The sequence below is a fragment of the Homo sapiens genome, chromosome 8 (genome assembly GCF_000001405.40).
Source record: "Homo sapiens chromosome 8, GRCh38.p14 Primary Assembly".
NCBI lineage: Eukaryota > Metazoa > Chordata > Mammalia > Primates > Hominidae > Homo > Homo sapiens.
In genome coordinates, this window is record NC_000008.11 from 52,087,142 (window position 1) to 52,110,389 (window position 23,248).

The 23,248-nt window shown below is 41.9% G+C and overlaps 1 annotated feature.

Annotated features, from left to right (window-relative positions):
* Positions 13,629-14,575: an enhancer, noted in NCBI's record as "H3K4me1 hESC enhancer chr8:53013330-53014276 (GRCh37/hg19 assembly coordinates)". NCBI's record gives its function as "activates a minimal SCP1, AML or CMV promoter by ChIP-STARR-seq in naive and primed H9 embryonic stem cells {active_cell/tissue: H9 hESC(naive and primed)}" and the evidence as "EXISTENCE:reporter gene assay evidence [ECO:0000049][PMID:30033119]".

The following is a 23,248-nucleotide window of genomic DNA, read 5'->3' on the forward strand; positions in this document are numbered from 1 at the left end:
CACTCTTATTCCTTTGTACTTAGCATTTGGTCTTCCTAGCTGTCCTTGAAGCTCCTTAAGGCTTTTGCTTTATTTTTTTCTGTGGGAAACTGGGCATGTCAGTTCTGTGTGATTCCTCTGACCAGGATGTTAATTCCAGCAAAGGCCTCCAAGCCTTGGGAAGGCCCACCTAGTGGGTGGTTGACAAGACAGGATTCTTTTGGTTGAAGTGAGAGAATCCCAAATCAAATGAGCTCCCATAAGAATGGCAATTAATTGTTGAGAAGAAGGTTCTGGAAACACTGTGCCCTGACATTTCCTTTCCTCTCCATTTATCACTGAATCATGCATCTCCTTAGATCTGTGGCCACTATCACCTGCAAAGCTCTGGGTTTGGGAGAGATCTCAGGTTCTGCTGAATGTCCCTGGGCACTTTGTTCTATGGTGATAGGCCAGGCAATTAGCTCACAGGCAGCTTAGTGATAGCGACTGAAGGGCTGAAGACGCTAGGGCAATCTTGAAGGTAAGGGATCTGTGGAACCCAGGGGGAGAACATCAGTCCTGTGTGATGGGTCATGACTGGCTGGATCTTTGAGGCTAGGCAAATACAGGGACGCTGGAAAGCAAGAAGCTTGGGCATGGCGAGGACCAGGAGGATAGTGTCAGTCTACTTTGCACTGAAAGTCCATAGCAAGAGTGGAGGGGAAAGAGACAGCAGGAGTCCAATTTGTCTCCCATTCCCTAATGAGCAATTGGTTCAAGGAAAGGCTGAAGAGGGGTGAGATGTCTGTATCAGATATTCCAGGAAATGAATCCTTGTTCCTAAGGGAGTGCCATAGGAAGAAGGGGACCATCTTCATCCTCTGTCTACATCAGCCTGAGCTGTGGGGAGTACAGGTACTGCTCAAGAGAGTAGAGCACAGAAATGGGAAGACCCTGGAGTCTGGCTGAACTCACTGAGCCAATGAGCCAACCAGCCCCAAAGCTCCTAACACTAGACTCCAAAGTTGCAGGAATCTGACAATTCACCAAAGACAAGGAGTTAAATTACTCCTTGAATTACCAGGGATGTTCTAATCTTTTTTTTTTTTTTTTTTTTTTTTTTGAGATAGAGTCTCACCTGTTGCCCAGGTGGGAGTGCAGTGGTGTGATCTCGGCTCACTGCAACCTCCACCTTCCAGGTTCAAGTGATTCTCCTGCCTCGACCTCCCGAGTAGCTGGGACCACAGGCACTTGCGACCACACCCGTCTAATTTTTGTATTTTAGTAGAGACGGGGTTTCACCACGTTGGCCAGGCTGGTCGCGAACTCCTGACCTCAAGTGATCTGCCCACCTTGGCCTCCCAAAGTGCTGGGATTACAGGCGTCAGTCAGTGCGCCTGGCCTCTAATCTCAAAAAAACTCTTACATATGGCATCAATTAGTAATTTACTTAATTAAAAAATCCATTCAACATGAAGAATCGTATACTTTTAATAGTAAGGAAATGTGATCACCCACATTTAGTATTATTATTTTAATCATTTGAAAATGTACTTCCACATTCTCACAGCAGTATTGCCAATTTATCCACCTACAGCACGAATCCCTCTCCCACCAGCAACCAGCCTTCATAAAAATGGAATTTGGAAAATCACAAAACTCCAGCTCCGTAATGTGTTTGAGTATTTACTGAAATTTATCATATGGAGCACGTGAGAGAGAATACCATGAGTTGTAAAATGACAGAACTGTTATTTCACATTTTTAGCTAACAACAATTTTTAATGCTAGGATGGACTTTTGAAAGCTGAGACTTATGTTTCCCACTAATTTTTAACAAGTTTATCAACTACATATTTTTTTTTCTACCAAAAACTGTGTTTTTTTATCAGGCAAGTTTCCCGGATTTACTCAGAGCAGGTCAAATGCTCCTTTACCTTGGATAAGAAACACTTCGTTTTTGTCTCTGAGTTTCAGACCTGCACACCAGCGCTGGTGCAGGGAAGGTAAACAGCACACGCTGACTGACTGCTTTTGTGGCTGAAACAACCTACGCAGGGGCCCCAGTGGGGACGTTTGTTTGAGCGCCCCTCAGCTGCCCAGGGAGAAACTGCAGCTACCTAGTGTGAGCAGTTCCTCTCTTCCACACTTATATTTTCTTTGTTTGTTTTAAACAAGATAGAAGAAGTAACAAGATAATTAGTTTGTCAGCCTGCTGCTTATATCTCAGTCAGGGCGGACTTCACATGACAGTCTTTAAGACTGGCTGAAAGTTTAAAATTTTTAAAAATCTAATATGGTATAAACAGAGTAAGTGATACATTTTAAAAGCATATGAGAGGCTGGGCACGGTGGCTCATGCCTGTAATCCCAGCACTTTGGGAGGCCGAGGCAGGCGGATCACGAAGTCGGGAGTTCAAGACCAGCCTGGCCAATATGGTGAAACCCCGTCTCTACTAAAAATACAAAAATTAGCCGGTCATGGTGGCAGGCGCCTGTAGTCCCAGCTACTCGGGAGGCTGAGGCAGAATTGCTTGAACCCAAGAGGCGGAGGTTTCGGTGCCACTGCATTCCAGCCTGGGCTACAGAGCAAGACTTCGTCTCAAAAACAGACAAACAAACAAAAGTATATGAGAAAAAAAGAAAAATAAATAAAAGTTCGTTGGGGATTGTTGTAGTTTGCTAGAGCTGCCATGTTAAAGTACCAAAAACTGCATAGCTTAAACAGGAAATATTTATCGTCTCACAGTTTTGTGGGCAAGAAGTTTGAGATCAAGGCATGGGCAGGTTTGGTTCCTTCTGCGGGTCCTGAGGGAAGGATTTCCTTGGCTTGTAGGTGGCTGTCTTCATGTTTATAGGGCATTCTTCCTGTATAGTCAGTGGCCTTATCTCATTTTCTTTTTTTCCTTTTTTTTTTTTTTTTTTTTTTGAGACGGAGTCTCACTCTGTAGCCCAAGCTGGAGTAAAGTGGTGTGATCTCTGCTCACTGCAACCTCCGCGTCTGGGGCTTAAGCGATTCTTCTGCCTCAGCCTCCCGAATAGCTGGGACTACAGGCATGCGCCACCAAGCCCAGGTATATATATATATATTTTTGTATTTTAGTAGAGACGGGGTTTCACCGTGTTGCCCAGGGCGGTCTCGAACTCCTGAACTCAGGCTATCTGTCCACCTTGGCCTTCCAAAGTACTGAGATTACAGGTGTGAGCCACTGTGCAGGCCTCATTTTCTTATAAGGACACCAGTCATACTGGATTAGGACCCACCCTAATGACCGCATTTTAATTTAATTACTGCTTTAAAGATCCTATCTCCAAATGCTGTAGTCACATTCTGAGGTGCTAGGGGTTAGGACTTCAACATATGAATTTTGGGGCACACAATTCAACCCATAACAGGAATAAAGTATTTTTGTTATAAGTAATTTGTATACAGAAGAGCAAAAACAATGTGAACAGAATCACAATATGTGGGCAATACCTAGGCCCAATTTTGTAGATATAAATGAACTTAGATTTCATTTAAAAAATACTGCTGAAATAATCTGGATATATTTCAGACAAGATCAGGCACATTCAGAGTGGTATGGCCATATACGATCAGGATATATTTCAATGATTAAGAACTTAATGCTAAGTAACTGATGACTGTAGCAGTTTCTTACATAATTCAATACAGCAAAATTAAATGCCACAATATGTTTCCACTTGAGGTGTGTAAAGGTAGTTTTCTTTCTTTCTCTTTTTTTCTTTGAGATGGAGTTTCGCTCTTGTTGCCCAGGCTGCAGTGGCACAGAGGCTCACTGCAACCTCTGCCTCCCGGGTTCAAGTGATTCTCTCACCTCAGCCTCCCGAGTAATGGGGATTACAGGTGTGTGCCACCACACCCAGCTAATTTTTGTATTTTTAGTAGAGATGGGGTTTCACCATATTGGCCAGGCTGGTCTCGAACTGCTGGTCTCAGGTGATCCACCCGACTCGGCCTCCGAAAGTGTTGGGATTACAAGCATGAGCCACTGCGCCCAGCTGCAAGGGTGGTTTTCTAATATATTAAAGCAGAGTAGAATTGAACAAGACAGAAAAGTTGTTCTTTTATAATGATAATTGCTGACTTGAGGAAATAAACCTAAGTCAAATAATTGAATTTTAAGTGTTTCTAACAATGGTAGCAATTTATGACATCTAAGATAATTATATCTCTCAAATGATTATTAGTTTTGAAATAGGGATACAGTTTGGTACAAAGGCTCATTTTTTTTTTGAACACATGAAATGTCTCTTGAATAGTAGTCAGACTTCCAAAATTTTGAACGTTATATAGTAATTTACAAAATTAGCATATTTCCTCAGAAGAAATATTATGCCAGTGAGGCAAATCTATCAAGCAGGTTTTTTAACATCTTTCTTGAGGCTTCACTGATGTACAATAAACTGTACATATTTAAAATGTGCATTCTTTCACATTTCTATAATGGGTGAAACCATCATCTCTATCAAGATAAGAGGGTGAACATTGCACCCTAAATTTCCTGGTCCTCCTTGGTAATCCTTCCTCTTGCCTCTCCTCGACCCTATACTCCAAACCCAGCCAAACGCTTGACAACATTGAACTTGACCTGAGCCCTGTGCTCCTGAAAAACAGTAATGGTGAAGAAGCCCCCCTACAACCTTTTGTTTTCAAAAATCTTCTCATCATTTCCCAAAGAAAGAGCTAACCATAAACCCAAATATTCTGAGATAAGATCCTTCTCCATCTTTCCTCATGACTCCCATTTGAAGACTCAATGAATCTCTTGTTTAGCTGCTTCCTTTTCTCGGAGATGTTCCTTATAAATGAACACTCTCCCTATCTCAATAACCTGAATAAAATCATCTCTGGAATTGTCCTGTGCTTTTGGTTTGTCACTGTGACTCCTTTGGTTTGTCACTGTGACTTGGTTTGTGCTGTGACTCCACAGGATTGGACCTCATCTGTGAAGCCCTGTTCACTCTGCCCAGTAAGGAGGCCTTCTTCACAGGGCTCTTTCCTGACCCACCATCTGTGGACCAAGGGTATGTCCAACATTTGGTCCTGTGCTCTGCCTCTTGTCCAAATCCTCCCCTTGTAATATTTTGATTATGCTTCTTTTTGAGTATTCACTTGATATCTGGTGCCAGCTTCTTTTGACTTTATTGTCTAACCATTTGGGTTTCTCTGTAAATGAAATGATGATTTATAGAAATCTTATGTCTGCTACGTGAAAAATGACAGAGAACCTGCTTTGTTTTTCTTTTTTTAAAATTTGAGACAGGGTCTTGCTGTGTCACCTAGGTTGGAGTGCAGTTGCACCATCATAGCTCACAGCAACCTCCCAAACTCAAACACACCTCCTGCCTCAGCCTCCTGAGTAGCTAGGACTACAGGTGGGCACCACCACACTCGGCTAATTTTTGTATTTTTTGTAGAGACAGGATTTTTCTTTTTTCGTTTTTTTTTTTTTTTTGAGATGAAGTCTTGCTCTTGTCCTCCAGGCTGGAGTGCAATGGCACGATCTCGGCTCACTGCAACCTCCACCTCCTGGGTTCAAGCGATTCTCCTGCCTCAGCCTCCCAAGTAGCTGGGATTACAGGTGCTTGCCACCACACTCAACTAATTTTTGTATTTTTAGTAGAGACAGGGTTTCGCCATGTTGGCCAGGCTGGCCTCAAACTCCTGACCTCAGGTGATCCACCTGTCTCGGCCTCCCAAAGTGCTGGGATTACAGGTGTAAGCCACCATGCCTGGCCGAGATAGGATTTTTCTATATTGACCAGGCTGGTCTTGAACTCCCAGGCTCAAGTAATCTGAATGCCACAACCTCCCAAAATGCTGGGATTACAGATGTGAGCCACTTCACCTAGCCTGTTCATCTTTTCTAATTGTCTATTTTGAGCTCAAATCAATTAAGGATTCATACTCTCTGGGAAGAGAACAGCTTGTCGATATGGCCTGGTGAGTTTTGTAATTCTGTGTTACTTTGACCCATGGCTGAAATTCTGAACTGAAGCTATAAGCTTTCTCTCTATGTCATATTGTTTATGTTTCTATGTCTGTAATTTAGAAAGACATTTATCTCTCATTGCGTGAGTGTGTAATATTTTCCTTCCTCCAGATGGTATTAGTAACTTAAATTATAAAAATATCTTAAAGGGACACTACTCTGATTGGCTTGCAGATAAATAAGCATTTATATCATTGGATATTCCTAAAATTCCCAGAAATTAAGGAAATTTAACTTCCACTATTTACAGTGTTCTAAAAAATTTTATTCTTACCGAAACCAACTCAAACACACATTTTCTCTACTGCAATCAGCTGAAGACAATCACAAATTCAACTGCCTGGCCCCACCAGCCTTTGTCTCTTTTCCTTCTTCGTCTTCTGCCACAGCCCCTGCTGCCTCCACTGCCAATGTTAATGCTCGAGGAAGGTCCTAATGATCTTCAGAGGCTTTATCCAAAAACACATTTCCGTTATTATCTTATTGGACCTCTTTGCTACATTTGATCATTTGATATTAACTTTCTTCCTACTTCAGAGCTTCTGCTTCTCTGAATTCCATGATACTGTCTTTTTCCCAGGGCTTCTCCATTTCTTTTTTCTTTTCTTTTCTTTTTTCTTTTTATTCTTTTTTTGACAGAGTCTCACTCTGTTGCTAGGGCTGGAGTGCAGTGGTGTGATCTCGGCTCACTGCAACCTCTACCTCCCAGGTTCAAGCGATTCTTTTGCCTCAGCCTCCCAAGTAGCTGGGATTACAGGAACGTGCCACCATGCCTGGCTAATTTTTGTATTTTTAGTAGAGATGGCATTTCACTATGTTGGCCAAGCTGGTCTTGAACTCCTGACATTGTGATATGCCCACCTCAGCCTCCCAAAGTGCTGGGATTACAGGCATGAGCCACCGCACCTGGCCTAGGCCTTCTACATTTCTGACTGGTACTTCTTGGTCTTTTTTTTTGGCAGGTCTCTCTCACCCACTGTAAACATCACACTCCTCACCGCTCTTCTCTTTTGTTTACTCTTGTTTTAAGGCCACTGAGAGGACAAAGACTTCCTTTGAGTGAATTACACACAGTGGTCCCCCTTGCTTTTGTAGAGATGGGTCTTTCTCTCTTGCCCAGGTTGGACTCCAACTCCTGAGCTCCAGGGTTACTCCTGCCTCAGCCTCCCAAGTAGGGAGCCCCTTTTAAGTAGATGAATTAGAAGAAGGCAGAGCCATTTCCTCTTGTGCCACAGCCTAGACCAGGACGTAAGTTTGGTTAGGACTAGATTTTACCCTCATTCATGTCTTGCAGGTACCATTGAGCCAGAGCAAAACCTATGCAGTTGTACAGAGATCTCTCTCACTGGGTAGTATTCTTCATGCTCGTGGTTTTTTGTTTGTTGTTTGTTTTTTGTTTTTTTGGGTTCTTTTAATCCTTGCTGTTTTTGTTGTTTTGGGAAATGCAATTTTAAAAATGGGGGGCGGGGGGAGGGTAGGTGTAAAAATGTCTAGCTGCACCAGAGCTGTCCTACTTTAACACACCACCTCGTCATTGCACTCTGATAAATCAGATTGGCATGTATAATCAAAACAAGATTCACATCCAACTTTCATGTTTTCTGAGAACAGTAGGACACACAAAAGCACCTGGTAATATGTTTTTTCTGGATAAAATTACAGATTTTTTTTCTTCAGACTAGTTTTTCAAGAAGGTTTTTACTGATCAGGTTTTTCAACTCCTCTGTTTAATGATAAAAATTTTATAAAAATATATAGGTGTTAGGAAAATTCTTCGGGAACTATTGGAGGAAGGCAGGATAAACAATTTGCTATGTAAAGAAATGGCTGCTGATAAAGAATGTGTATATTTAATGATTAACATTTTTAAAAACCTGTTTGTAGTGTTTCTTTGTGTAATTTCTTTTCTATATTTACTTGCTAACGCACTTGCATGTCAAAGAAGAATTTGCAAGAAAAAAATGCAAACAGATATTAAATAACAATGAAAAAGATTATTGTTATTTCCACTAGAAGTCAGACAAGAGAAACATATGGAGACTTTTTTTTTCCTGAATCCTTCCTGAAATACAGTAAAGAAGAGCTGCTTGCAATATATATTAAACACAGTCACAGACTTTGCACTTCTTTCAGCTTTTCTATTGAGGGAAAAGAGAATGAGTCTATTACTGTAAATTATATTGTTGAAATTGTAGCCATTTATTACTCTGATTTTTTAAACAAAATGAATAGTTTATGAACTAGTAACAAAATTGTAGGCTTTTATAATGTTATATTATTTATCCAACTGTTGCTAAAGTGACTCTCCTAAGGATATATGAAATTCCTTATCTTTTATTAAAGGCAAACAATGTGAATCAGAGAAAAGAATTCATAATTCTATTATAATAAGTAGATGGCCACACACATCTTTGTAGTGAATATATATTAGACATTATAATATGTCTTCTTTAAAAGTTACATTAAACATTAAAACAGTAAAATCTGTACATGGTACTGGGAGTTTTATTTTTCCCCCTTTGCAACCACTAATGTTGAAAGATTGAAAAGCTGGGCTTGGGGTCAGGGAAACCTGGTCTTAATTCTGGGCCAGCATCTTGGTGGCCCTGTGATCTTAGGCTAGTCATCAACCTCCCTGGAGGGCACTGCTTGGGTTCATGATGGAAGAGGTCTTGTGGAACAAGGCCAGCAGCTGTGACTGCTTTGAGCAGTGACCAGAAATTTTGTGGGGCAGGAATTTAGAGTGAGTGGCGACCAGAAGAACGTACTCTTTCTGAGAACCCTAATATGTATTGGAGAAGGTGCTGGAATGCCCATAGGATATGTGGTAGAGACTTGAGTTAAATCACAGTTTCCTTCAATAGCCAAATGATTCAGAAGCTAGAACTTGAGGATGTTCCTAATACTTATAAATAATGCTGCCCAGAGCTATTGTTTTATCTTGTGACAGACTGTGCACTAAAACAGACTTTACAGGTTAAATGTCCATCTTATTAGCTCACTGTACCTCATTGCTGAGTGTCACTGATATGTCACAATTCCTTATTGTAGGCCCCAGGCTTCCTCCTGTCTTCTCTCACCATTCTTTTGTGACACCTGGTTTCTTTTCCTTTATTGCCTTTACTCTAGTCAGTTTGTACCACTCAATATTTACCTAAAAACTCCATCCTGCATGTTACATCTTTCCTCTTTTCATGCTGTTTCCTTCACTTAGAATGCCCATCTTTTATCCTGTTTTCCAAAATTCCATTTATTCTTCAAATTCCAGCTCAAATGCTATTGCTTCCACTGGGCTTTCTTTGATCTCATCAGAGTTATTCTTGTGTGCTCTCAGAGCATTATTTTGAGGATATTTTTTCCCTCTATCACACTGCTTGCTACATTCTGCTTTGCGATGTAGTGATGAGAAAGAAGGCTTCTTGGTGAATGGAATGCAGTTGAGGTGCATGCTGTGTGCACCACCCAGGTCTCTAACGGCCAGGGCGAAGCACTGAGCTCCCAGCTGCTGGGAGTATGGGTGACTGGCCCCTGGCAGCTGAGTCCCTTTCTAGAACCGAGCTGACTTGACCAGGTAGTATAACCTTTCCTGGGCTGCTAGTCTAAGGACTCATCTATCTGGGATGGCTGGGTTTACAAAGGGCAAGTCCCCTTGCCTCAAAGTGAAAGAGCTCTACAAGGCTGTCTCAGTTCCAGAGCTTCCCTTGACTCAGCCAAGATCTTGGTGGTGACTACATCACGGTTCAACTCTTCCTTCTGTCCTATCCTGCTTTCTTCTCACTCCTTAGGACTTGATCCCAAGGGCATTCCCCATTAAGTTTTCTCCATGCAAATTTCACCTCAGCATCTCTTTCCTGGGATCCCACCTTTTCCTCATTGGCAGCACTTGGCCCGTGTCTACGGAGGTAATGACACTGTGTTGATTCAGCAGAAGAGAGGTTCCTGGTCCTACCTTTTAAGCAAAGCCCAATATCAAAAATGTATCCAGTCTAGCTCTTGCTCTCATGACGTCTTTGAGTTGTTTAAAGGACTTACCTAGGAGACTGGGTCTTTTATTCTTAGATGAAAGTGCAACAAATATTGAATTAAGTTAAATCTGTTTCCTACAGTGGGAGAAACAGTTAAAGAAAGGTAAGAAACTCATCCGAGATCACACATAAAAGAACTAGATCTGCAACTTGGTCCTTTCCACAGTAAGGACATCTTCCCATCCATATAGAGTCTATGACTTACAGTCTGTGATAGTCTTTGTTTCAACTGAATCGTTATAGAAATTAAAAAAAGAAAAGAATAAAAAGGAGTTTAGCTCTACATTGGTCTTCATGTTTCAGGCCCAACTTTGTTGCTGAACTAAAACCCAGGCATTCCTTGTCTCTCCGAAGCCTGGGCTCTTTTCTGGGTGTTCTCTAGCAATAGTTGGGAGAGTCAACTTGGACACAGAGTCATGAGTAATTCTGTATGTGCGTCCACAGTAGCTTTGGATTAAGAGCCCCCAGGTCTCCAGCAGGAATGTGCACCCTCTGCCCTGCTAGGCATCAACTGTCTTGGGCACCCCTTGGGGTTTCCGTGTCCAGCAGTGCAGTGCTGTGGTAAGGAGCTATGAGATGTTGGCAAAACTGGAGAGTGAACTGAATAGGGCTCAGGCTTCTGTCTCCAGCATTGTATCCTGTCTTAGTTCATTTGTGTTGCTATAACAGAATACCTGAGATGGGGATATTTAAAAAGAACAGAAACATATTTTCTCACAGTTCCAGAGGCTGGAAAGTCCAAGGTAAGGTGCTGACAGATTCAGTTGTCAGTGACAGCTGCTAAAGTCCTCACACAGCAGAAAAACAGAAAACAAAGCTAGCCAGCTAGTTAAATGCTATGTGAAGCTTTTTTTAAAAGGACCTTACTCCCATTAACTTGGTAGGAGTCCTCACCGTCTAATCACCCCTTAAAGGCCTCACCTCTTAATACTATCATATTGGCAACACCTGAATTTTGGAAGGGACACATTCAAACCGTAGCCTACCACAAATCTATGGTTTGAATTCCTGATGGACCTGCCAAAGCCAGTAGAGTAAATGGCTGCAACACACCCAAAGTGGGGGTTATGGGCTAAATTGTGTCCCTCCCCATTCATATGTTGGAGCCCTAACCCACAGTATCTCAGAATGTGACTGTGTTTAGAGATAGGGTCTTTAAAGAGGTAATTAAGGTAAATTGAGGTAATGAGGGTGGGCCCTAATCCCATAGGACTGGTGTCCTTATAAGAAGAAAAGATTAGGATGTAGACACACAAGAAGGAAGACCATGTGAAGACATGGGGAAAAGACAACCGTCCACAAATCTACAAGCCACGGAGAGAGACCTCAGAGTAAACCCAACCTGTTGACATCTTGATCTTGCACTTCCAGCCTCCAGACTGTGAAAAAAAATAAATAAATTTTTGTTATTTAAGTCACCCAGCATGTGGTATTTGTTATGACAGCCCCAGCTGTCATACAGTGGGTTAGCGTTAGGTGTATGCCAAGGAAGTAGCTTCCTGGAACTCATCATTTCCATTTTCTTCTCTGATAAGGCAGGACCACGTGTCCTGAAGGGAGGAGGTTACATCCACTTGACAGCTTCATGGCCCAGCTGTATGAGATGAATTCTCTCTGTGGTTCTAGGTGGGAAATTACTGAGGGAAGATAATCTTTCCTTCTTGCTTGGGGGGCTGCTCTGCAGATGACCCCTGAAGAAATTGCACACAGTGCAGTGATGTCTGCTTGGTAATCCTTGGGAGAAACAGGACATGCCACACTATAGCTATACGTTATGCTTTTGCCTTATCACATCTTTGCATTCCATAAAGGTAATAAAAGTAAACTTAGTATGGGAATTTTTAGAAGAAGCCCAAACATTCTAGAGACAATTAAAGGACATTATAAAGAGAAATTTGTATTAAGATCTACAAAATGAAAGAGTGGAAATCAATAGACTATATATCTATTAACCAGGGCTTTTGACAAATTAAATCAGAGAATATGTCAGACTAATTTTCAAACAGAAAACTGCATAGGGTTGACTGAAAGAGAATTGTTAGAGCAAAAGAGATGGAAGAAGAATTACAATGAGGTGCTAAAAGCTGATGAAACAAGGTCGTTGTTGTTACTGTCTATGCAATGCATGTAAATCCCCCCTTCCCATTTTAATGAATTACAATCCACACATCATGTAAACCAATCCTTTCACTAAAGAGTGAAAAGTTTATTTATATGTGACATAAGCTTTCCTCGCACTCTGTGTCCTAACCAAATCAGGTGTTTGAGGAATTAGTTACAGAAACAGCCTCAAAATCATGGAAGGACATTCAGAAAAATGTTATCCAATCTGGTAGGAAATGAGTTTTGAAATTAAGAGCATCGTGGGAAATGTGTAATTCAGTCATAGGAACAGGCTAAAAAAGGCTATTGAACAGTTGATTTACTCATTGTTTGGTGCCAGATCCAAATGTAATTGCAGTGGAAAAATTAGCGCTAGATTATTGCATAGCAGTTTTGAAAAACTGCGTCTTGGCCAATTTGTTTTTCTAAATCAATATAACATTAGCTAACGTGAGTCAGGCTGTAATATTTTTCAGGCTCTGCCTACTTAGTGCCAAAAACCTTTAGATGAGAAGTGAAAACTGTATTCATATAGATGCAGATGCTTTTGGCTCTAAGACACATATTTCGCCGAAGCACCGTACAGTTTTTGCTAATATGAATTGTAGTTTTTCAGAAGTTTCGGGTGGGAACAACAACAACAACGATTAGCTTGCTCAGTAGGATTTTGTGAGGCTGCCTGTCCGCGCCTGGCCCTTCTGAAATCGTCCAGGCGCGGACAGGCAGCCTCAATCAAGACAACGGACTCAAGGGGTTACCGGGAGGCGGATCCGCCAAGTGTTTGGCCACGCCCGGATCCACCAGAAGTTTCTGAGACCAAGATTCTTGCGAATGTGAGAGTAGGAGGTGTTCTTAAGGAAAACTGGTCTGGGAAGAATGGTGAGGGAATGGGAATATGGAAGGGCAGAGGGCCAGGCTAGGGGCTCACCCGACAGGGGAGCTCTGGGGGCCTTGTAGCTCCCGCTTCCAAGCCTTGTAGGTCAGGGAGAGGGAGCTTGGGTAGAGAAGGGCATTGTTCGGGGAGCGGGTGCAAACCCCCGGGCCCTGCTACCCTGGCGACACCACGGCAGCCTGACGGGTGCGTGCATCAGTGGGTGCATCAGTGGTGTGCACCCCAGGCAGGGGGCACACCACTGTTAAAGGAATCCAGGGCGCTGAGACCTCAAACCCCCAGGCAGGGCTGTGAGGACCCTCCCGTCCCCTTCCCGGAGCCGCCTCTGCTGGGACTGCAGCTTCTTGCTCAGACTTCAGGACCGGCCCAGACCTCAGGACCTCCTCTCCACTTCGCTCTTCTTATCCCTGATGATACACTTGAGCTCCCAAGTCTCCATCCTCTCTAGCTTCCTTTCCTGTCCACACATGTAGACTTTCACACGATCGGGGGGGTGGGGGGGAGTTTAGCCGTGGTTACTGCAAATAGGTGGGAGGGCGGGGTGGGGGGGGGGAGACTCCGACGTGCCCCTCAGTGTGCCAGGCGAAGCATGTGTCACATTTCAAGCCTGAACTTATGTTGGAAACTATCCTGGATTATCTCCACTTTATGGTAGAAGCTGAGGCTACTTCTTTTTTTTTTTTTTTTTTTTTTTTTTTTTTTTTTTTGAGACGGAGTCTCGCTCTGTCGCCCAGGCCGGACTGCGGACTGCAGTGGCGCAATCTCGGCTCACTGCAAGCTCCGCTGAGGCTACTTCTTAGCTCAGGGCTGCTGGGAAGTATCCGCCCAGACCGGACCGGACGGGGTGGGGGGAGTGCCTGCCAGGGCGCAGAGGGGAAGAGAGGTGGGCCCAGACTTCAACCTGGGGCGAGTCTAACAGAGATAAAGGGGCAGGTGGAAGAGGCTGGGGCTGAGTGCGGTTCCGGGAGGTTCCCGGGCCGTGGGGAGGCTGCAGCCGGCTTCCGGGGAGCGCTGCAGGCCGGGTGACGGCGGCGGGGCTGCTCTGGCGTGCCACCTGTGCGCTGTGTGCTCCAGGCAGAGATGGGGCTGGGAACGCTGCGAGGCCTCTCCCGGCCCCACCCTGCGAGAGGTTAAATACCTTTCTGCAGGCACCGTTGGCCAGCGGAGGGCTGGGGCTCAAACCCTATCCTTTTCAGCATACCCTGCCTAATAACTGAGTTCTCCACATTTTCTAGAACTTTATATATTTCTGCATTTCATAGGAGAAGGAATTGGGGTCTAGACAAGTTCAGTGCTTTTTTTTTTTTTTTTTCCTGAAAGGTCATACGGTATTAAGAATGGTGGAAATGGAAAGAAACTCCAGAACTAGGGATTATGTCACATGAGTTATTGGGTAATTTTTCAGGGCACCTCAAGTATTTCTAAAACTGAAAAGCAGTACCGCACTGAAGATTAATAGTGATCGCAGTTGATATAGAGTATATAAATGAGATAAATACGACACAACTCTACTCTTTAAAAGTTAACCCTGTGTTCTCACACCTGTTATTATTCAAGAACCTTGAGCAGAACTAGGTCATATATTATTTTACATTTGGGAAAACAGGAATAGGGAGTATCTGGTGGCCTTTTCAATGTCACTCGCTAAGTCCTTTCTTCACTGACTCATTCACTCAGTTGTTCCAACTCTGTGCCGGGGCCTCTCCCCATTCCTGAGAACAGTGAGGACCAGGGTAGAGATCTGGTCCTCCTGTAGCTCGTGTTTCAGCTCCACAGTCATATGCAAATTGTGAAGTGTTTGGTGTATCTGAAATCCCAAATACATGCCCATCCTGTCGGTGGGGATGTTAGGCTCAGTGGCAGTGGAACCCACTGGGATGGGTGTCCAGGAAAACTGGGCCTTTTAGCCCCTTCTAGTTGAAACATATGGGTAAGTGCATATCAAACTTTGGGCATATTTAATCCGTTAATGAGTGTCCAACAATTTCAAGTGTCCATTTTTAGGAAGAAAAAAGACTGTTCACAATTTTAAAAATAATAAAACAAAAATAATACTTATAAAAATAATGAATTTTAAAATTGCAGTAAAAGTGATACCATGATTTGAAAAACTTTCATCCAATTCTACCCAGGATAAGTAAGCCACAGGTTCAAGCTCCACATGCACTTGGCTCACATCTCCTGGTGGAGAAAGTGAGATGTCCGCCCCCACATCCATTCTCTCTTCCTAACGGAACTCCCAACACCAGTTCTTAGCTATGCACATTATTTACCCAGAAGACAAGACTTCCCTCGAGTTAGGTAAGGCCATGTGACTAGTTCCAGCCACTGAAATGTAAGTACAAGTGGAATAGGTGATGTCTAGGGTGGCTGATTAAAGGGATCTGGCTGACCTCTGGGGGTTCCATTTTCTCTTTGGTCTTTCCTCCTTCCATAGTGTAGGACACAGGAGAAGTGGCTGGAGTTCCAGCAGCCATCTTAGATGATGTGATAACTTTGAGGATGACAGGTTGATTGATTAGAAAGGTAGATGAAACTAAAGCTTCATTGTATTGCTTACCAGCTGACTTCTTGTCAGAGAGAGAGAGAGAGAGAGAGAGAGAATTTCCTATTTTTTTAAAATTACTCTTTCTGGGGCTTCAATGTTGTCCAGATAAACCAAATCTAATACAATTAAGTGTATTACTCTTTATTTCTATTAAATTGGGAAACCCTAACATAATTATAAGTCATTAAGATGATAGCAATTGTTTAGTGGTTCTGACAGGAAGTTCTGGATATTTGAATTGAAACTGGACCCAGAAATAATGCTGCGATTTCTCTCTCCTTACTAATTTCAATTCTTCAAAGGTATTAAGGTGACAAACACCTCACATTCAAACACTGGGAGATTAAGTGTGAACTTGAACAATAGCTCTAAGTGGAGTCCTAATTCATTCCTTGGTTGTACCTGTAGGGCTGGAAGCATTTTGGAAACTATTTGGTCTTAGTGTCATTTATAAATAAATAATCTAATAATGAGCCATTGATTTCTTTCTTCAGTGAGTAAAGAAATAATTGAGTAACCAAGTACTGTGAAACATTGAACTTCAGGTGATTGGACTGTTTGATTCATAGTTTGCTTTATTCAGGACACCCTACCATCTTGTTTCTCAACATTAAAAATTGTAACATTTTGGCTTTAAAGTTCAGGTTCAGTGTAGGTAAGACGCTGAATGTGTTTGAGATCCCAAACTGACAAAGCTCAATGAAATCTTAGAGATGGCTTTAAGTAGCATTATCAGGGTAATGAGAAAATATTTTTATCTCATTCTTTATTCAAAAAAATGTTGGGGCCAGGCACGGTGCCTCACATCTGTTATTCCAGCACTTTGGGAGGCCAAGGAGGGAAGATCTCTTGAGATCAGGAATTCAAGACCAACCTGGTCAACAGAGTGAGACCCTGTCTCTACAAGTAAATAAATAACAAAAAATCTTGAATTTCACCTACACCTTCTCCTTTATTAGAGAGCATACTAATATGTGAAAAAATAAACTCACTTTCTAGTTCTTCACCAAGCATGCGCTCCCTTTCTTGATAGATAAATTTTCAGTGTCCCCTATTTCCTCCAACACAGCATTAAGATCAAGAGACGTATTGCAGTGCCAGCTGCTGTCTGTGAATGAAACAGTTTCTGGATGGGCATTCAAGTTTAGCCAGTTTTATTCCAATATTAATGCCCTTCTTTTTTTCAAACTTAGCAGGTGCTCCAAATTAGTACTAACTAAGTGTAAATAATGGATCAAAAGTAGTCATTAATTTAGCAAGAAATCTCACAGGCTTTGGGTAATAACAGCACAGGTCTCCTTCACTCATTTTGTGGCAGCATTTTATAGTGTGTGCAAGTGTGGGCTCCAGACCCACTATGGTAGAGTTAAAATCCAAGCTCTGCCACTTAGGAGCTTTGTAATCCTATCTTAAGGAATCTCTGTGTGCCACTAAAATGTATGTGTGGAAAACCTAACCCCCAAGGTGATGATATTAGGAGGTGGGGCCTGTGGGAGGTGATTAGGTCATGAGGGTTGAGCCCTCAAGAATAGGATTAGTGCCCTTACAAAAGACACCCCCGAAAGTTACCTTGATTTCTTCTGCTTTTTGAGGATGCAGCAAAAAAGACAGCCATCTATGAGCTAGGAAGCAGGCCCTCACCTTGCCTTGATCTTGGTCTCCCCAGACTCAGAACCATGAGAAATAAATTTCTGTCATTTACAAGCCACCCAGCCTATGGCAGTTTGTTATAGCAGCTGACATGAAATAAAACCATGCCTCAGTTTCCCCATCTATCATTGGTGAGAGTGTTAGTATCTGCCTCATGGGAATATGCTTCTTTAAGTTTAAATTTTTATATTGGAATTCCCACCACTCCATTTCACTTCAATAAGTGTTTTGTGTGCTTGATTCATTTGTGTGCATCAGAAATATAATACAACAAAACAAGACAATGAAAACATAATCAACTTAAGCAATACAGCACAAAGAATATGAAAATACACCCACTGAGATGAACTGTACCCCATTCACTGAATGGTAGGTAGCCTGCATAAGCCAACCCAAGCCATCCTATAGCTCTTCTGTGATTCTTAAGACCCTAATGATAAATGGAATTTCTGTGAAAATGGTAATTAAATTCTCCTGAGTAGCTGGGACCACAGGTACATGCCACCATATCCAGCTAATTTTTATATTTTTAGTAGAGATGAGGTTTCACCACATTGCCCAGGCTGGTCTTGAATTCCTGGGCTCAAGTGATCCGCCTGCCTTGGCCTCCCAAAGTGCTGGGATTACAGGTAAGAGCCACCATGCCCATCCTATTCCAACTATTACGGTCATCTTGTGAGCCAGAATTTGGTTATGTAGATGGGTAATTGTTAAAAAAAAAAAAAAAAAGCTAAAATGAGTAGGTTTTCGGGTTGTATCAAATCAGGCACATTTGATACATTTGTGGATTTTAGAGTGTGATTTAGCCACTTACTTTGTCTGATCATGTAAAAATTGTCATTCTTTTTAGATATTTTCTGTTTTGGGGTGTTTCTCCCTCACAAAAAGAGAAAAAAACATTGTGATTTCTGAGCTGTAGAAAAGATAAAAACTAAGTTATTTCCTTGGCTTTTCTTTTTGAACACCTTTTCTGTTTCTTGCAGAAAAAATGGTAAAACAGCACTGTTTACTAGAAATTTGGTGAGAGCGACACATGTAATTATATATTTTCTAGCATTCCCTAGCATTCCCACTGAAAATGAATAAAAAGAAAAGGGAAAATTCATTTTAAAACTAGACTTTATTTAACTCAATATATTCAACACATTTTTATTTCAGCTTGTGGTCTTGAGCCATAATTCAGTGCTCCACAGCTACTGATTTAAGAAGTGCAGCCAGGCTGTGATGGAGGAGAAGCCAGTGGGGCAAGAGGCTAAGAGGAGAGATTGGAGGGATGGAGGGCAGAACTCCCTCCATGTGATGGGGAGAAGGCTCCACTCAGTGCTGAGAAGAAGATGCATACAGCTGTGCCCACGCTACTGAGCCACTTTACGAATGCTTTAAAAAAATCTCCTGATTATCATATTTCATAATTTACAGAGTTGTTGTGGGAACTAAATAATATGTGTAAAGCACTTGGGAAATTTTTGGTGAATATTAAATGCCCGATTAATGTTAAAACACACAGACACACCTTTATAAAAAACTTCAGGGTGCCTTGCTGTGCCTGTGGGGACTTTGAACATTTCCAAGCCCACCTGTTAGCTTCTGCTGCTGCCCTTGAGGAATTTGTACTGACATTTGACTTACTTTTAAAAACCTCATGTTATCAGTATGAATAAATTTTCTTATTTTTGTTTCTTCTCCTTTCCTCCATTCTTCCTTTCCTGATTTTGTAGATTACGTACAGTTTTCCTGCTGATCTAGATGAATCTCTGGCGATGAAAAGGGTACATGGGAGAGATAAAAACATTCCCTTTTTTTTGTTCACAGAAATATCCAAGAAAGTTGTTGAAAGCATTTACAGTTACACTTATAGCTTTTTGATGATTCAAAATTGAAGCATTTATGTACCTAATTACCAAAAAATTGGGGATATGGATGGAAGATACATTGGTGGGTGTGTGTAGACATTACCTGGGTCTGTCAAATGCTGGCTGCCACAAAATACAACCAAAATAATCTATTGATAAAACAAAACTGAGTTTACCTTGACAGAATCTTAACAGCATGTGAGGAAAGGGGGCTAGCAAGCATAGGGTATTTATGTGATTTGAGGGGTCTGGCTTAAGGAGGGCCCTTGAAAATGAGGGCATGATTAGAATTGGGCAAGTTCACAACTTAACAATTCAGGAGAAAGACACACAGCAAAGCCAAGATTTCAAAGTGAGTCTCAAAGAGTAAACAATCACTTGACATGAATGAGTGTCCTGAGAAGGGGTATTTATTATGAGAGTACATTGAGTAGTTCTGGTTTTATCTGGTTCGGGTAAATGGATTGTTAGGAAGTTCTTGGAAAAGATAATGAAGATGTTTTCCATTTTTTATCCTGGGCAAGAATTTCCTGGAATAGTAAATTCATGTTAATAGAGTCAATCCCATAGTAGAGGCTTGTCCATGCAGACATTGACCCGTGGCCCAGGCAACAGCCAGCTGCGTGGGTGTCGATGTTTTTGGTCCTTGGGTCTTTGATGAGACACAGAACTTGAGCGTTCTCTCTCATATTTTTGAAATTCAAGTATACTAGTCTCAGGGATCAATATTTACAAAGATTTCTGATGGTTAAAATTTTGATCCTTTAAGAGCATTGTTAAAGTGCGTCTTCATACATTTTGTGTTGCTATAAAGGAATACTGGAGGCTGGATAATTTATAAAGACAAGAGGTTTATTTGGCTCACAGCTCTGCAGGCTGTACATGGAGCCCCGTGCCGGCATCCACTCTGGTGAGGGTCTCAGGAAGCTTCCCTTCATGGAGAAAGTTGAAGGGGGCCTGGACTGTGCAGAAGTCACATGGCGACAGAGGAAGCAGGGCAGAGTGAGGTGCCCAGCTCTCCTTAACAACTAGCTCTCTCAATGAATGGAATGATAACTCACTCACTCCCCACCCACATAGGGGCATTAATCTATTCATGGGAAATTCATCTGCATGACCCAAATAGCTCCCATTAGGCCCCACCTCCAACACTGGGGATTACATTTCCCCATGAGGTTTTGGGAGTCAAATATTCAAACCAGAGCAGCATGACATATCCCCAAAGTGCCACTCACACTTTCAAATATCTAACCCATAAATCTAACCCTGGATTTCATTTAAAACTGAACAAGGCCATCAGTTACAGAAGGAAAATGACTACATTTATATATGAGAATATACATCTGAGTGGAAAACTCTACTAAAACGGCAGCTGTTTCTGAAGAGCAGGGAACTTTACATTCTCTTTATGTTTTAAATATTTAATAGCTGGTAAAGGTCAGGACAAACTGTCTTTTTATTTGTCGGAGGCCAATTCAAAACTGTCAGGCATGCACAAAGCGGCCAGTGACAGAACAAAATAATTATATTGTTTTGCTCTAAAAACAGTAAAAAAAGAGGGATTTGCATTTTTCTTATTTTTGGCTATTTATTATAACCAATATTAAGATTTTTCAATCCCAATTCATCAAATACATTATTAGGATGTCACATTTTTATGATATGCTTTTGCAAGAAAAATACATCATAAAGTGTGGTGTAAATGTGAAAATGATGCTTCTTTGAACAACTTTTCCTGGAATGGGCCCTGGCATGTGTCTTAACTGTTTCTTGCTGAATGACTGTGCACAGAGGCTGGTAAGGTGCTGGCCAGCACAGCAAGTATGGCTAAATGCAGTCGTGGCGGCCTGCAGAAGGGACAGGAGCTTGCCTCTGGGTCAGAGTTGAGTTGAATACTGACCCTGCTACTTATCTCTGGGGCATCAAACAATGATTAGAGTTCACTCTCTCTAACCCTTGGTTGTCTCTTAGTATAATGCTGATCATAATAATTCTGTTGCAGTGTGGCCATGAAGCTTACAAGAGGGAATTCAGGGATGTACTCATTATCGTAGTGTTAAGATTGAGGAATATTGGAATATGTCTGGATCCTGGCATGTATCTTAATCTTACCTCATTCTTATTTTTTTCCTCCAGATGAGACTACATCTGACAGGTGATGAGATAGATCATGTTGGTTGGAGCACCTAGGTTGAGAGGTCCACACGAGGCTCAATTGTTTCTAAATGGGTGAGTCAGTTAGTCCTGCTATTGTCCTCATTAGAGAAGGACTATCCACAATAGAATTGTTTTTGTAAAAATAGTGAGAAGGGGCTTGCCTTGCTTTAATCAAGCACATCTGGGGTGGAATCCTGGCTGCACTGTTTCCTAGTTTTACGGTCTTGAGCAAGTTACTAACTTTGCTAAACACCAGTTTCCTCATCAGTTTAATTGTGCATGGCGATATTTGCTTGATACATTTTGTCAGATGAAGTATACAAAACATCATTGATTGTGTCTGACAGCGTGGATAGTTATTAGCCAATTAAATCTGCTTACTTTATAATTATCTGCTGAATAATGAGAGGAAATAGCAGGGCACTTTTCCCAGACCACAATAAAATGAATGTAATGTGTGGAAAGAGATGTAGAAAACATTAGTTTTTACAAATATTAATAAAATATTTATGTACCATAACAAGTTAATTTTTAAAACTTTTTCTAATGGGGAAAATCAAATAATTATTCACCCCCTTCTTTTTATTCAGGTCCTTGGTTCCAGTAGAAGGGTTTTAGTCCTGTGTCTGAAGGCCCCAGGACTTTTCTTGGGATGGTAACGATAGTCTCTATACACTGGCCTGAAAATGATCTCGGGAACACTCGTTACCAGTTTTTATTTGTACCATACCCCACATACACAGCACTGAACACAATTTTCTTGCCCTGATGTATGAAATGTTAATCATCTGAATTGCTGGAACAAATTATCTGAAGTGAAATCTGATCTTGTCATTCTCTGATTTAAAATTTTTCTTTCACATGCTGAAGTCTGTGGAAATTAGAACTCTTTAGCATGCCAGTCTACGATATGACCTCCTCTTCTTCCCACTCATCTGGGCTTTGGCCTCTCATCTTCTCACTTCTCACCAATTTTTCAATGTTTTAAATACGTGAAGCTGCTGCCTTGATGATTGCCATACTTTTGCACATGCTGTTGTCACTGCCTGCAGCACCTTTTCTCAAACTTTCCCTGCTGAATCAGAAGCAGGATTCTTCCTGGAAATCCAGGTTTGTTAGGTAACCCTCACATGGTTTCCACAGGAGCCTGTGTGTACCCAAACTGAAATACCTATCACTTATTTCATTGTCTCCCACGAGGCTGAACTCCCATGGGAGTAAGGAAGTGGGCCCGGCATAATCGTGTTCCAAGTAAACATCTTTTTGATGAATGGATGACTCTTACTCACCATTTCCGGTAAGACTGGTGCTCTTCTTATGACGCCTTGTTGACAGAGTTGTAGACACTACTCGTTGGTATAAAATCCCAATCAGAGGCCGGGCGTGGTGGCTCACGCCTGTAATCCCAGCACTTTGGGAGGCTGAGGTGGGTGGATCATCTGAGGTCAGGAGTTCGAGACCAGCCTGACCAAGATGGTGAAACCCCATCTATACTAAATACAAAAAATTAGCCTGGTGTGGTGGTGCATGCCTGTAATCCCAGCTACTTGGGAGCCTGAGGCAGGAGAATTGCTTGAACCCGGGAGGCGGAGTTTGCAGTGAGCCGAGATTGCTCCACCACACTCCATCCCGGGCAACAAGAGCGAAACTCTACCTCAAAAAAAAAAAAAAAAAAAAAAAAGTCCCAATCAGGGCAAGATGCACATCCTTGGCTAAGGGTAAGCTAAGAGCCTGACTGAGCAGATTTGCATTTTGTGATCCATTTTATGCGCATCTTCAACACGTGAGTGTGGTGACTAAATGAAAGCTATATTGTGCATTAATGGTTATGTTTTGGCTCCTGGTAAATGAAGGTCTCCCAAGTACAACTCTGGCTTTCCTCTTTGGACCCAGACTTCCCTTCGGTCAATTTGGCTTCATTACATGGGTTAAATAGATTTTTTTTTAACCAGATCAAATGTAAGTGGAAACTTATTCTAGAGATGTATGAATCTGGACAGAAACTGAAAAATTAAATTAGGCTGACTATTTGACATTAGATA